Source organism: Homo sapiens, chromosome 14, assembly GCF_000001405.40.
Source record: "Homo sapiens chromosome 14, GRCh38.p14 Primary Assembly".
NCBI classification, from domain to species: domain Eukaryota; kingdom Metazoa; phylum Chordata; class Mammalia; order Primates; family Hominidae; genus Homo; species Homo sapiens.
This window is the reverse complement of record NC_000014.9, coordinates 26,869,142-26,886,049: the sequence shown is the minus strand read 5'-3', so window position 1 is coordinate 26,886,049 and position 16,908 is coordinate 26,869,142. Positions and strand designations below refer to the sequence as shown.

Sequence of the window (16,908 nt, the reverse complement as noted above, 5' to 3'; positions counted from 1 at the left end):
AGTAATCAAAAGACTATGGTACTGACATACAGACCATTGGAATAGAATTAAAAGGCCAGAAATAAACCCTCACAGGTATGGCCAAATGATTTTCAACAAGGATGCTAAGACCATGCAATGGGAAAAGGACAATCTTTTCAACAAATGGTGTCGGGGCGAGCACAGTGGCTCACACCTATAATCTCAGCACTTTGGGAGGCCCAGGCAGGCAGATCACCTGAGGCCAGGAGTTTGAGACCAGCCTGGCCAACATGGCAAAACCCTGTCTCTCCTAAAAATACAAAAAAATTAGCCAAGCGTGGTGGCAGGTGCCTGTAATCCCAGCTACTCGGGAGGCTGAGGCAGGAGAATTGTTTGAATCTGGGAGGCAGAGGCTGCAGTAAGCTGAGATCACGCCATTGCATTCCAGCCTGGGCAACAAGAGTGAAACTCTGTCTCAAAATAAATAAATAAATTTTAAAAACGGTGTTGGGAAAATTGGAGATCCATGTATTAAAAAAAAATGAAGTTGGACCCTTATATACAAAAATTGACTCAAAATAGATCAAAGATATAAATGTAAGAGCTAAAACTACAAACCTTTTAGAAAAAAAATAACAAAAGAACTTCATGACATTGGATTTGGCAATGATTGATTGAATATGTATGGCACCAAAAGCACAAACAACAAAAGAAAAAAGAGGTAAGCTGGACATTATGAAAATTCAAAAGTTTTGTGTATCAAAGAATACCAACAGAGTGATAAGGCAATTAACGAAATGAAAAGAAACATTTTTAAATCTTATGTCTGATAAGGAATTGATATCCATAATATATAAGGAACTCCTGCCACTCAACAACAAAAGCAAACAAACTGATTTTAAAAATAGGCTAAGAATTTGAATAAATCTTTCTCCAAAGAAGATGTGCAAATGGCCAACAAACACATAAAAAGATGCTCAATATCATTAGTCATTAGAGAAATGCAAATCAAAACCACAATGAAATAATACTTCACACCCATTAGGATGGCTATTATAAAAATAAATAAACGGCAAAAAAACACAAATGTTTGTGAGGATGCGGAGAAACTGAAACTTTTGAGCATTGCTGGTTAGAAAGTAAAATGGTGCTCCTCCTTCAGAAAATAGTATGATGATTCACCAAAAACTTAAATACAGAATTACTATATAATCCAGCCATTCTACTCCTGAGTTTATAGACAAAAGAAGTGAAAGCAAGGATGCACATTCATAGCAGCATTACTCTCAATAGCTACAATGTGGAAGCAACACAAGTACCCACTGAAGAATGAATGAACAAAGAAAATATGATACATACATACACAGGAATATAATTCAGTTGTGAAAAGGAAATAAATTTTGACACATGCTAAACAGGAATGAACCTGGAAGACATTACACCAAGTGAAATAAAATTCACTTAAACAACTAAAGGACAAATATTGTATGATTCCACTTAAATGAGATAATGAGATTTCTAGAGTAGTCATTACTGAAAGTAGAACAGTGGTTACCAGGGAATAAATAAATGTAGGGTGGAATGGGAAGTTAGTGTTTGATAGTAACAGAATTTAAGTGGAGGAAAATGAAAAAGTTCTAGAGATAGGTTGTGTCTATGGTTATACAACAAGTGTGAATGTATTTAATACCACAGATCTGTACACTTAAGATGATTAAAATGGTTATTTTTATATTGCATATATTCTACCATAATAAAAAGAAGAGAAAAATCTTAAATGCAGACAAAGAAACTTACAGAGGAAAAAAGAGATGGCAATGTCTTTCTTGCTAAAACAATGCCAGCAAAAAGAGCAACATCTCAAAATATTGAAAGAATTATATACTCAATAAAAACTGTATTTCAAAAAATGAAGGTGAAAAAATAATATTTCAGGCATATGAAAGGTAAAAGAATTCACCCGAAACAAGCCCGCACACTAAAGAAATCTTTCAGGCTGAAGGGAAATGATAGCAAATAAAAATATGAATCTACCCAAAGGAATAAAAAGCACTGAAAATGGTAACTGCATGGGTAATTATAAAAGAATTGTATTATTATCTATACCTCTTTAAAATGTAACTTTAAAAAATAACAGTGTGATGTGAATCTCATATAACATGTAAAAGCAAAATATATGACAGTAGTGCCATAAAGGCCAGGAGGTAAGAAATGGAAGTTTACTCTTGTAAAGGTCTTATATTTTATGTGAAGTGATATAATATCAGTTGAAGCTAGATAGTGATATAGTAATAGTATGTACTATAAACTGTAAAGCAACCGCTAAAATAACAAGTCATGTGTAATAAGCCAACAAAAAAGATTAAATTAAATCATAAAAAATTCTCAGTTCAAAAGAGAAAAGAGAAAGAAAAAATGGGACAATTATAAAAATAGTAAGATCATGATCTTAAGGTTAACCGTATAAAAATTCACATTAAATATAAATGGGCTAAAGATCCAATAAACAGCAGAGATTGTCAGACTAGATAGAAAAGCAAAACCCAACTCTATATTGCCTTCTGTATATATAACCTATCAAATTCTCTATTGCTTATCACTTTAAATATACATAGAAAATAAGTTAAAACTTAATCATTATATATATATATATATATCTTGTGTATTACTTTACTAGGGTTTTCATCACAAAGAACCACAAACCTGATGGCCTTAACAAGTGAAATTTATTTTGGGGGATACAAGTTTGAAATCAAGATGTCAGCAGGGTAGATTTCTTCTGACACCTCACTCCTTGGCTTGTAACAGCCATCTTCTCCCTGTGTCTTCACATGGTCTTCCTTCTGTACCTATCTGTATCAAATTTCCTATTCCTCCCGCAAAGTGAGGGTCCAGGTGAAGTTAACAAAGGTTATCTAATTTAGGACTTTTTCCATGAAATATTACCTGCCATAGATGATGCTAATTTTTTTAAAACTATGTCCCAGCTCCAACTGATGCAATTCAAACTGTGTTTTTGTGCTGAATCCAAGTCAAGAAGATGCTCAAGACTTATTATAATATAATATACTTAAACTTATAGTTGGTATATAATTAATTTTATTTTTAAAAAGAATAATTGTTTTATTTATGACTAGGTGACAAGTATTTTTAAAAATAGAAGGTAATTTAGATATATTAGTACTGATATATTTCAATATATAATTTCACAATAGATATGTAGTATAAAATATGACTAATATTAGATAAAGGAATTTTAATGATCAATGCACTGTGTGGTTAAGAAATATTCTTTCCTTCCAGTGAAATAGGAGTATTATCTTAGCCTGTCCCTGCTGCCATAACGAAATACCTTAGGCTGGGTAATTTATAAGCAACAAAATTTTGTTGCTCACAGCTCAAGGCACCAGCATATTTGGTGTCTAGAGGGACAGTTTCTCATAGACGGCACCTTCTAGCTATGTCTACACATGGTAAAAGAGGTAAACAAACCTCCTCAGGCTTCTTTTATAAGGGCACTAATCCCATTCATGAGTGCTGAGCCCTAATGACCTCTCAAAAGCCTCACCTTTTAATACTATTGCATTGGATATTAGTTTTCAACATATGAACTTTGGGGGAACAGAAATATTTGGGTCATAGCAAGTATTGAATAACTGAGCATGTTGGTGTTTTATTGTCTTGTCATTCTTCTGTTTTTCCTTTTTGTTTTGTGTTAGAGAGTAATGTATGCTTAATCTAAGAAAAGGGGAGAGATTGTTTTTATTTTAAAACGCTTGCAACTAAGAAATTGCAATGTACAATCCCAAATACGATGATCTGCAATGAGTTCTTGCTCAAATCATTTTATTTTTCTATGGCTCAATTATTCCTTCTCTAAGAACTCAAAAAACTTATATTCTAAATAATCTTTGGAAAGTAAAATAACAAAAATTTTCATATATTTGACAATATAATATGCTATGATATTCTGAATATTTTTTAAGTAGTAACACCCCAATCAATATTAGTATGTTTACATTACATTGCACTTGCTACTCTGATCACAAAAGCACATTGAGAGATTTAGTTGGTTCTTCAGAATTATGCCATCTACTTGAAGTTAAACCAAAGATACAAAAGAATTAAATTCTGTGCTTCAGAGTCTTAAGTGCAAAAGGGATTCAAGGAGTAGAGAGACTTAAGAGAATTAGAATGGGAAGAGATACTTCTCAGAGGGATAGCCTTGAAAGTGCTCTTGGAGGATAAGAGGACATAGCCAGGTGAGAGGGATAGAGCTGCAAAATTTCAAACTCACTGAGTGAGTTTGAAAGAGAAATATTCTAAGAATTTAGAAATATTTACTGCCAGAGAGTAGGTGACCACGAACCTGGATAGGCAGAATGCAGAATATTAGCAAATTAAGATTCAATTTTGGAAAAATAAAACCAAAAACACCTATTGAATATGTAAAATAGTGTGTGAAAAAGCACAAGTACAGATAATATAAGAGGTAAAATATAGGGAGTGAAGTGTATTTAAATGCATAAGTTCGTGTTTGCTAACATGAAATAAAAGTGATAAATATTTATAGAGGCTGCCTCTTATTTTATAAAATCTCTCCACAGGAGAAGAAAAACATGAATTTAATTATGGAAAATGATCATTGAAAACAGTATGAGAAAACGGCTGCTTTGTCTGGAAGGCTTGGGAAAAGTTATACGAAACTTTTCTAAGCCAAAAGAAAATTAATATAGAATATTTCTTCATGAGAACTCAAATATCCAGTAGGAAACTGTAACTGCACCAAACCAATCTGGCTTAACATTTAAGTAACAAAGTGAGTCCTTCTTCGGTTGCCATGGACTCCCAGGTAAAAGGTCACATAACCTGATCATTGTTTTATTTACTACTAAAGCCAGATGAACAAAGCATGCAACCAGTGGAGGAACCCAGGTGCTGAGACTGAGGTGCAGGGACTGATTTTAAAAGTGAACACTGTACCAGCCGGGCGCGGTGGCTCACGCCTGTAATCCCAGCACTTCGGGAGGCCAAGGCGGGAGGATCACAGGTCAAGAATTCGAGACCAGCCTGACCAACGTAGTGAAACCCCGTCTCTACTAAAAATACAAAATTAGCTGGGCATAGTGGCTCGCGCCTGTAATCCCAGCTACTTCGGAGGCTGGGGCAGGAGAATCGCTTGAACCTGGGAGGCGGAGGTTGCAGTGAGTCGAGATCGCACCACTGCACTCCAGCCTGGGCGACAGGGCAAGACTCCGTCTCCCAAAAAAAAAAAGAAAGAAAGAAAGAAAAAAGAAAAGTGAACATTGTATGGCAGGATCCAGAATCCAATCAGATAAAGCTCTGGTGTCACCACTGGATTCTGGATCCTAAAGCTTTCAGGTGACACCGGGGCTTTATGTGATTGGGTTCTAGATCTTGCCCGATTATCCAATCAGATCATGCCTCATTACCCTATGCATATAAAATCTGGTCCAGACCCCAGCTCAGAGAGACAGAAATGAGAATTTTCTTCTGTTTCCTTGCCAGTCAGGTCTCCATAAAGCTTTTCTTTTCTCAAAAGCCTTTGTCATGGTGTTGGCCTCCATGTGCATGAGGAAGCAAGCTCATTGATTGCTCTATAACAAAATTACCAGGAGAAAGCTCCTCACTCCTGCTCTTGGGTCCAGGAAATCAAGCAAAAAGTCTAGTTAGACAGTCTCTCATGGTTTCCTTTGAGCTATGAATTAAACAGAAACAACAAACACATTATTGTAAAGAGAAATAATCCATTTGTTTAAGAAGGAGTCTTAAAGTTTATATTTATTTCTCTACGATATAAGGAACGTAGGGTAAAAAAAACTTACATTTCAAAGGCATGGTTATTTTGAGATAAAAAAGTGAAAAAATTGTATTCTTAAAAATAAAAATTTAAAAGCATAACTTTCACATATGTTTTTGAAAACTTGAATCAATATGGAACAGTCTTTGGACATGAAGTTGTTTTGTATTGTTTGGTTTGGTTTCAGGTAAAAGCCATAAATGTATTCCATTCATTTGGGGAGGGCAGCTGAAAATTATGAATAATGTCCTTCTAATTTTATCTTTTAAATATATATATATTTTGAGACGGAGCCTCACCCTGTCACCCAGGCTGGAGTGCAATGGTGCAATCTTGGCTCACTGCAACCTTCACCTCCCAGGTTCAAACGATTCTCCTGCCTCAGCCTCCTGAGTAGCTGGGATTACAGGTGCATGCCACCATATGCGGCTAATTTTTCGTCTCTTTAGTAGCTACAGGGCTTCACCATGTTGGCCAGGCTGGTCTCAAACTCCTGACCTTGTGATCCACCTGCCTCGGCCTTCCAAAGTGCTGGGATTACAGGCGTGAACCACTACACCTGGCCATATTTAATATTTTGATGTCAAAGCATATTTTCACTGATGAAGTCTTTGTCAAAATAAAGTATGTAACTCAGGATTAGAAGGTAGGGAAGGAAAGAGTGAGAGGGAGAGAAAGACAGAACAAGGAAATTGTCAATTTTGTTATGAGCCAATGTTAAGAAATTGTTAAGTTCTTATGAAACAAAAGAAATATTACAGAGCCACAATTTAATTTCTAAAGGCATATCAAAGATATCACATCTGAAATGTACATGATAGTGGAGCAGCAAGGACAAAACTATGGATTATATCATACCTGGCGCTCTACATCAGCCACAAGAGTAGTCACATGAGATACCAAGCATTTCTATTCTACTCAGTCACACCTTGATAAGACAGAGTAGCAAACTGAACAATGTTAAAAATAAATGATTTCCAGGATACCAGTCCTAGACTTTTTTTTGAGAAAGACTTAGGAAGTAGAGAAATTATTGTAGTGTACCTGATTGGTTAAGAACAAACATTTAGCTATGCATAAAATATTCCTGTAAAATATATACAATGTGAACTCCATCAATCTTTGAAGAACTATGTTGCAAGTCATTTTACACAATGAGGGGATTGGAGAAGAATGTGAAGAGAGAGAGAGAGAGAGAGAGAGAGACTGTTTTTGACCCTGAGGACAAGTAGATAGATCATGTAAGTTTAATATCTCTATATTCAGGCAGAACTCTATGTGTGATTATGTGTTGAACTTTATAGAAAGGTATCTCTAATAGGCCCAGCAATACTATACCAGGGCTGGAAAAGATATCAGCAAACATTTAACTTCCCCTTCTTTTTGTAGGCAAGTCTGCTCGTAAATTAACAAAAGAAGAAAGCTCTGCAATCCTTTTTAAAAGTTATTGGGAAAAAATATTCTTTGGCCATTCTTTGCCATTTCAAATTAAATAAAATAAATGTAGGCATGTACTCACTATGAAAAGTTAACAAGGTCATTGAGAAGAGGGCAGGGATCTGAAGAAATGTATATTTTATGTATGCAACACCTGGAAGTCAAGTATGTGCTGAATGCTTTCAGTATGATTAAATAGTACAGTGAGAGTTAAGTAAAAATAGTTTGAGTTCACCTATTTCCTATGCAAAAGTAACCTTATCAACTTAATTGTAGAGTAGTTTGTTCTGCATTGTAAGAATTTGAGACATATTTTTAAATAAATGGATAAGTGAGTGATAAACAGCATCAAAGATGGAAATGCATCTCTCATCTTTATACAACTTACCCTATTTCTTTATGAAATCAATACTATATGTGTTAGGGTAGGTGTATGTGTGGTTAGACCCTAAGTTGTCTTTTTTTAATAAAATGCAAAGATTTATGAAACATTCTAGATATTCAAAGGCTGTTATAGGCCAGGAGTGGTGGCTCACGCCTGTAATCCCAGCACTTTGGGAGTCTGAGGTGGACAGATCACTTGAGGTCAGGAGTTCAAGACCCATCTGGCCAACATGGTGAAACCCCACCTCTACTAAAAATAAAAAAATTAGCTGGCCACAGTGGCATGTTCCTGTAATCCCAGTTACTCAGGATGCTGAGGCACAAGAATCGCTTGAACCCAGCAGGTGAAGGTTGCAGTGAGCTGAGATTGTGCCACTGCAAAAAAGCTGGTGTAAATTTGAGGACTCTAAAAGCAGATATGTCATAATTATTAGTCCTATGACAAGCTGATATATTATATCACTTTGCAACACAGACTATGGAATTGCTAAGATCTGGGTTCCAGTACAAGACCAACAATTATTAGCCATGAGTCAACAGACAAATAACATTCTCTGACAATCAACTTGCTCTGCTATAATATCGTTACTGTAACTAATGTATAGTCTTTTATTGTAAGTATAAAATACAGTGTTCTTAAATATTATAGCTATTAATTTGTAGTATTAATCCATAATCTGTATTGCATGTTTGAGACACTTCCATCTATGATGTACATGCATCACCTCCTCAATTCTTTCCTCCACACATTTGTGAGATGCCCTAATTGAGTACCTGACAGGTAGTGGACCTTTAAGTAATGATAGCAGTTACTGTGTGGAGGAATAGACATGAGCCTACAAAGACATTTTGATTACACAATGAACAACTTAGAAATATTTTGGGAAAAAAAGTTGAAAGCAGATATGAAACAACTGAGCTGAAGTCAATACACTAACACTGCTCTCATTGTTTAGCTGTGTAATGACAATTAACATGCTTAAAATATGATTATAAATATGCATATTGGATCTAATTATCAGCCATGTAATCATCTGTAGCATATGGAACAGGTCATGAAGAAAACCAAAAAGATGATTACAGGGCTAAGGAATAGTTCACATAAAAAGGTTCAGTAGAGCTGTTTTTGTTTTGTTTTCTTTTGTGTTTGGTAACAGAGAAACTAGGATGCAGAATGACTTGATTGACACAAAAGCTATATGTCTAATTTGTCACTCTTCATACAGACTAAGGAAGTTTTATTCAGGATGACAGAATGAAAATTCTTCCTGAAGTTGATAATGCATAGTTTTTAAAAGGCTATAATCTTTTTGAGGGTAGGAAGAGGATCTTATTAGTTTTGCATTCTTGTACCTGGTGTACACTAAGTGTTTAAAATGTATTTATGGAGGGGAAAAGGAGAGAGTTAGGGACAGAGAGAAAAGAGAGAGAAATCCCTTCCTGATGCTTGGCTAGAGAATAGGGATAAAATTGTCCAAATTCAGGCTATTAATTGAAAATGTAACTATTCATGTGAATTGTCTGATATGCTTCTTAAAAGTACAGATTACCAGAATAAAATCCACAGAATTAGAAATCTGAGTAGTTTTTAAAAGAAAGATTCACAGGTGTTTCTAATATTCCAGATTTGTACCCATTAGATTAGGTAATAATGTTACTGGGTCAGAGTTCCAAATTCCAAATTCATCTGGAGGATGACATTGGTCCTCACCTCAGATCTTTGGTAAGGAGCACAAAAGTTGGAGTTTTGACAGACATAGTGACTAAGACACTTCTACAATATATTTCTGTTAAACTGGAGTTAAACTAATTTCAAAATCTTTATGAAGAAATCATGTTCAGTAAAATGTATAGCTTGACTGGCCTCATCCCTTGTTCTTAATAGAAGAAGAAAGCTATGAGAAACAGAAATGAAGCTTTCTCCCTCTATGCATCTGTGAGTCTTCCAAGTTAAGAGCTCATATTGAGCTCTTACTGAGCTCTTAACTTGCAACTTAACTGGGCTTACAACGTCAGAGGTACCTGTACTAAGCAGAACAATCAAACGTTTTTAAAAATCTTCAGCACTTTCCACATGTTGAGAAGCAACCTCTTGTTTCTCTATAGCAATGTGAGGTTCCTTTTGGATTATCAAATATAAATATGCATCAGGGTCAGGCCAAGTTGCTAACACTGGATATGCATTAGCAATTTCAATACAGTGTATCAAAATGTATGTATATAAACGTTAAATAAGACCAGGCATTTATATTATACCCCCATAGGCTACTCCAAATGAAGAGTGTTGCATCATGAGAAGGGGGAAAAGCAACGTTGCCAAGATTGCTTTTGTTTTTTTACCAACATGTGATTAGTGACATTTCTGCAGAGACATCTCAGGGGTGTAGAGTACACTTGGCCTAGCAGATAGGATGCCTTTTTACCATTTTTCTCTCTCCAATAGACAGAAGGTTTAGATTAGTGAAGGTGCAGTCTTCTTAGATAAAATACTTTCTGTACTTAGTCCAATGGCATTCATAATTCTGAATTTAGTCTGTTCTCTAAAGTTCTTCAGAGAAGATCAAAATTAGGTAGACCACTGTCAAGCACTTTGTGATTCAGCACAACACTAACCAATCTTACTTTTATAATGTTTGATGCGGAATGTTTCAGTAAACAGAAATTGTATTTAAACTACTACACTCTGCTATATAAGCATCACTTTCTTCTAAAATATTTACCATCAGATACACCACCATTACTAACAACATTTTAATTACCTAAGCCAGAGTTATCTCAAAAAGGTCAGGAAAAATGAACCACGTCCCTAAATTGATGGCATATATATATATGTATATATATTTGATTCTAAGTAGCTTCTACCTAAAGATCTTTGACATGTTTAGTGTGCTTCCCCCAGAGGATTTAGTAAAAATGAAATTAACTGCAGATACTAATTTATGAGATATCAAATTCATATGTATGTTGTATTTGATTCATTTATATAAGTTTCACATTTTTTTCATGGCAGCAATACCTAATGAAATATTTGATACCATAGTTTGAATCTAGACTCTGCTACTGACTTACATAAATGTCTTGGGCAAGTTGCTTAATTGCTCTGAACTTCAGTTTGTTTGTGTATAAAATGTCAATAATGTCATTCTACATCATGAGGTTGTTTTGAAAAGCAAACAAAATAAGGTTTCTAAAATTCACTCAAGTAACACATGGCATATAGTATGCAATACATTTTTCCATACTTTGTTTTATATGCCAATAGTTTAAAGTAGGTACTTGACAAGCAGTGCTTGTACTTGTATGTCCTGGGCTAGCATAAAATTATTTTCCATTTCTGACCATTTATTTAACTGAGTGTCTTATCTAAATCTCAGGTTCTGAAGAGATACAGTCTGCATCTTGAGATATAATTGTTGCATCTGTCTTCTTATCAATTAAAAACGCCAAATTAGTTTAACAACTATCAGAATCCTGAAACAACATTCATGAAGGATAAGCTTTAAAATGCCTATGAGAATATAGAGAGGACTTGCAAAATACCTTATTAGGGTGGCAGTTGTCCATAGAATAATACAGTAGATGATAGAGAGAAATGGAGATGGGCAATCTAGTTGTTTTCAAAACTGGAAAATAAGTATATTCTGCTTGAAATATTTTCTGGAAAATACTGCAGGGAAATTAATAAAAGGAATACTTAGATTAAAGAATACATGAGTCCTAATAATCTAGGTACCTAAGAAGCAAACAATAACAGTCTGTATTCACTTATAAATCCTCACTGCCTACTGAAAACTCTCAGAATAACTACGTGAGCAAAATGGAGAAAAAAAAAATATCTGGATATCTGGATATCAGTGCAATTACTATTTGAAAAAATGCCCAGATGAGTTGTTATTAAACTGATCCACACCAATAGGAAAACTATCAAGCCATATATGTTAAGAGTGTCTGGCCTTGTGTCACCCCTAATAAACATTTTGGCCATCAATTTGAATATAGGTTAAGAAGTAATAATGGCAATAATAATGGCATTTATTAACTCTCAGCTATGTGCTACAGCATTTTGCAAAGTATTTTTTCTGTATTATCTCTGTGTTACTGATAACCACTCTATGAAATACATACTATTATCCTTATTTCTTACAGATAAGGAATTTATGCTCAGAGAGGTTTAGTAACAAATCCCAAATCTTAACAATTAGTAATGCTATTGTTGGGCTTGGAATCCAGGTTCATCTTACAATAATGTCACTTGAGTAATAGTCTATACTCTCTCTCTCTCTCTCTCTCTCTCTCTCTCTCTCTCTCTCTCTCTCTCTATATATATATATATATATATATATATATATATATATATGCTTAATTAAACTTGCAGATGTCAAATCCGGCAGGTGAATGAATACCTCGATAGCTTGGTATGGAAGATGGTGTTGGACCTCACCAAGAATCAATAATTGCCCTATCCTACCTACATCTATGCTCCAAACTTCAACTACATGACTCAAGAAAAGGACAGAGGTGATTTAGTGGCAAGGGCTCAGTCTGTGTGTATGAATGTGTATGTTAAAATATGTGTACACGTGCTTGTGTGCTGGACAGAATTACTTGCTTTGGAAGAACATGAGTCTCCTCTTTCTGAAAGGATTCAAATCTAGGCTGGATGAAAGTCAGGAACTGTGGCTAGAATTTAAGCACCAGATGGATGTATCGACTGAACATTTAAGTGTATTTCCAACCCTAATGTACTGCTGTCATGCTGCATGCAACTGTTCAAATAAAAACAATTCAATGTGGTTAGGAGAAGAGATATAGGGAAGTATATATTTCTAGTATCTTTAACTTGTAGTGAATAGTTGGAAAATCCATCAGAAGTGCAAAATCATATCTTGACTGACAAGCCTCACCCAGTGCACACCCCAGGCAATGTTTTCGTGTCACTGAGAAACAAACTGGCCCACCCAGAAGACAGCCTTACTAATCTTGATGCCTAGAAGCTTGAAGCCTCACTGGAGAAGTGAGCAGTCAAAGGGAGCTTGTCGCCACTGATTAGCTGAAAACAAAGAAAAAAAGATAAATAAAGGAAGATTTTTTTTGCCAAGATAGATAAGATCCATTGGCTGAGCTCTACAGCTGGAGGGTAAAGGTAAGTTACCATAATCGGCAATAGTCACTTCTAGCTGGAGTTGGAAACAGTCTGTAGTATAAAAGCAGGCAAAGGGGAGCACCTTTCTCTTCCCTGAAGGGATTTCTGGCTAAAGGAATACTGTCAGCCGCCTTCTGGGGTCCCTCCCCCGAACATATGTGGACTCTGATTGTAGGCAGCCAACCTGGGCTTCTCTCCAGTCAGGGGCATATGGTGAGGTCACAATGGCTGAAGGGGATGAGACAGAAGACGATTGATTTCAGAGCCAGAGAGAGTAATCCTATCAAATGCAGGTGCACAGAAATTAGGAGATCAGAACAGCTCCTTGCATTTCTTGCTACATTTCCAGTATTTTCCCATTCCCTTGCTCAGTGCCTTGTCAGCACACCTAGAATTGAGGGTGTGATAAGAGAGGAGCAGAAAAGTAAGACTGAAATATTGTCCAATACGACTAAGAATTTTGCAGAATGCAATAATTGTTTTAAACACAACAGCAGTTTATGGTTATCAAGGCACCAAGGAATAGCACTGCCAAGAATTTACTGAGCAGTAGGGCTTCTCTGACAGGAACTGCGCAGCAATGTTCTCCCAGCAGCTTGACGTCATTCTGCATTGGTTGGAGTGAGATTGGACAGAGCGTGGCTGAAGCTGACAGGAAAGAGATTATGCAGGTATGTGAAAGTAAGGGTACATAATTTGCACACAGTTCCTCATGAAGTCAGGAATTATGGTTCAGATCAAAGTTGCAGCTTTCTTGTGGCACAGAATTCAGCATATAAAATACATTTTATACCAGGAAGTAATATGTTGCAACTTTGATCCAATTCATCACCCACCTAAATCCATTAGGAAACAAATGAAACAGTCTAAATAAAGAGACTAGACTAATTGAGGTTAGGATTTCCAGAACAGAAAGAGTTGAGACTCTAATTAAAGAAGCTTCCTAACCCCACACGTGGAGCAAAGGAGCTGAAACAGAAAGGACATGAATTCCTTCTGTTGTGCACGACAATAGCACCATCTGACAAGTCAAACATCTGTCCAAATGACCAAACATATGCACATCCCAGTTTAAAATGACAAGACATGCACACTTAATTTAGAGGTATCTGAAGTATTATGTGAGCCTAAGGGAAATCCAGAGAGACTGGGATAGAGGGAAACTAGTGCCAAAGCTTTGGCATTCACCTTAAATAACAAACAAAAATATCTTGGATTTTTGCATTCCTGAAGTAAAAAAATAAATATCAATATTAGAAAAACAACAAACATGAAACTCGTCCCCTGATACTTATCAGGAGAGTTTGCCTCAATATTATTCCTCTCCATGATCTAGTGTTCAAAAAAGAAGTACTGGTTGTTTTTATATTTGTTTACTTTGCAACGCAATGCATTTGTTCAAATCCAAGCAGAATCTACATTTTCTCTTTTGTTTCAGTGGCTAACCAGCCAGGTAAACTAATTGTTCTCTGCTATTAAATCAAAATTAGAGTTAGGAATAAAAGCCAAAGTAGCATAGTTAACAAAAACCCACCGACGTTTACAGTCATTACATGGCACAGAAGAACCTATGGTTTATTAGGAAATGTCACCTGCCAGAAGCTAACATTTAGACCAAGTCTTATATCACTGTCCTGGCCAAACTATAACAAAGCGAAGAAATTGCTTAAGCAAAAACAAGGACAATAAAACAAAGGTTTTCTAAATTACTGTTGCCCGTGTCATTAAATTTCATATTGTGCATGGAATATAAATACATCACTTTGTTCTGCATGACAAGCAGAAGTGAGCATTCATACATTACTCAGCCACTTAATTAAGTGCCTGGGATATTTGCAGTTAGCAGAAACTAATAAGGGAATCACATTTAAATTCAAATCACTCCTCAGGGTAGCTGTCTGCAACATAAGCAAGGCTTACTGGGTAGATGTTCCACTAAATGCTCAGCTGAAAGCTTAGATTCACTGTATTTGTGAATAAAGAATAATTCTACTTGTGATTAAAGGTGAGAGTAAAATAAACAATTCTGTTAGGGATATTTGAGTGACGTTTTATTTCCCCTGTTTTAAATAACCATTTCGTCTATTACTTTGTCTCCCAGAACAAGGGTATGATTTAGGGCTTTGCTAGCTTAGAGCAGGAGGTTCCATAAAAAAACAAATGACGAGGCTGACCCTTTCCATGGCAGCCTTTCAACAGACCTGACAGTAACATTCCCTGCACCACAGACAGTAAACAACAAAATTATAAAGTCCCCATTGAGAAAAAAAGCAAACAGGAAACAAAGTGATGGAGGGTCACAGGAGACAAAGAATGGGGAGGAGAGAGGAGGGATTCACATATTTATAGCAAGAAGCCAAGAACCCAGTATTCCCAACTCCGAGGAATTGCTCGTCCTCTAGCCATTGCCCAAGACTGGATTTATTTTTAGCCATTCTTCTTTATAAATTTTAACTTTTCTGGACTAAAACAATCCCATATGGTTTCAAATCTGCCCTTGATTCCAAACAGCCCCCACACCGAGCTTCTTCAAAATTTCAAAGCCATCTGGTCACCGTTGGTACAAATGACCTCTCAATATCCCTCCTCATACAAAGTGTGTTTTTTTTCAGCTTCAGGAAACTGGACTCTCAGGGCCCCACACAATTACAATTACTGAGGGCCGAGGTAAAGGTACACAAAAGACCCCATCACTTCAAGAAAAAAGCATGCTCTAATCCAAGGTATACAGAAAAGTGAGCAGAATAGCTTAGATGCAGATTGTACACCTTTGTTCCTTTACTGAAAGAAATTACATAATTTCACCTGACACCATGCACCATTTTGCTACCGAAAAAAATTAACTCCTAATTCCAGATTGCAATCCCAAGTTGAAATAAATTTAACTCTAATATTTTAACACTGCATTTAGACTGAACATAATATTTTTGGTTAGATAGAAATTTGGCATCTTCTGCAAGTCATAAAATCTTTGAAGCATAAATTCTGATCATCACAATAGGTACTGTCACACAGCATCACCTCAGATATTGTCAAGGTACCATCTGGCATTAGTTATACAGCAGTGGATAGAAAAGGTGTAGGCCTAGCACCCAGTTCTTAAACGGGTGGGAGTCAGTACTCATACCAGCATCAAGAACCAGCACAAAACAGCTCCTATGTAGAGTATATATGCAGAAAAAAATGCTTGAGGATTTACATAGGGAACCATTACCTTAGTTATAGCTGGAGAGAAGACAGGGAGATTTAGTTTTTAATTATATATCCTTTTATACAATTTGAATTTATTGCCATATGCATTTATTAGCTTTGTTAGAAGTAGTAATTAAACAATAAAAATTAAGTTTGCCCACAGCTTTTCAATTTTTCCCCAATAATTTCTCTCAAATACCTCAATCTGAAAGTAAATTTCACTATTCAAACACATCCACTGAAATCCATCCTACCATTTTAAATAACAGCCTTCTCAGTTCAGAAGTGCAATCTCCCCCTCAGTATTCCAAATGAAGTGCCTTGATAGGTATGCCCTACTTACATTCATCTGAGTCCTGATGGAAGTGTTGAGGATGATCTCTTCTCCAGAACACGTATTTGATTCTTTGGTGGAATTATTTTAGACACTTGAATATTTAGGATAGATGTTAAGAAGTTGAAGAGTCTAGTATCACAGGCTAGCTACTATAACAAATAATGCCAAAGATCTGAGAAGATTAATACGCAACAAAAGTTTATTTAGCTCTAATGTCACACATCAATGTGAGACTACTTAGAGGCTCTCCTGTATAAAATTAGAGTCCAGTTTCCTTCCATTGTGACTGTGTAGCTTGGACATATTATTCCAGGTCCAAGAGTCCTCCACACTCAGCCAGCAAATTAATAAGGAGAGAGCAAGAAGCATAGTGTGAGAGGTTTTACGAACCAAGCATGGAATTGGCATTTGTCACTTCTAACTACCTTTCATTGGCATCACCCCTTCCCATGTGACACCCTATCGGCAAGAGAAACATAATTTAAGTATTTTCTCAGGAAGGAAAGTTTGGTGAACACCATAGTAGATCAAATCCTTCTAATTTCTTCATTCTCTCCATGCACCCATACCTTTGCCATGTGACTTTGCAGTACTTCTCAGGAGAGTGAGCAATATCTATTTCCCCATCTCATT

At 36.0% G+C, this 16,908-nt stretch overlaps 2 long non-coding RNA genes across 3 annotated transcripts in view; one reads left to right on the top strand and one right to left on the bottom strand.

Annotated features, from left to right (window-relative positions):
• Window positions 1-12,917, bottom strand: part of MIR4307HG (MIR4307 host gene) — a 41,611-nt gene extending 28,694 nt beyond the window's left edge. Inside the window, exons 1-3 of the long non-coding RNA NR_110041.1 lie at window positions 12,756-12,917; window positions 12,508-12,653; window positions 11,144-11,270 (exon numbers count right to left, since the gene is read on the bottom strand). This is a non-coding gene — a long non-coding RNA (MIR4307 host gene). The remainder of the gene's footprint in view (window positions 1-11,143; window positions 11,271-12,507; window positions 12,654-12,755) is intronic.
• A 353-nt stretch (window positions 12,918-13,270) lies between these two features.
• The window catches only part of LOC124903296 (uncharacterized), a 41,385-nt gene continuing 37,747 nt past the window's right edge, over window positions 13,271-16,908 (top strand). Inside the window, exon 1 of one of the 2 annotated variants that reach the window (XR_007064093.1) lies at window positions 13,271-13,417. This is a non-coding gene — a long non-coding RNA (uncharacterized LOC124903296). The remainder of the gene's footprint in view (window positions 13,418-16,908) is intronic. The other variant, XR_007064092.1, reaches the window with a different exon arrangement.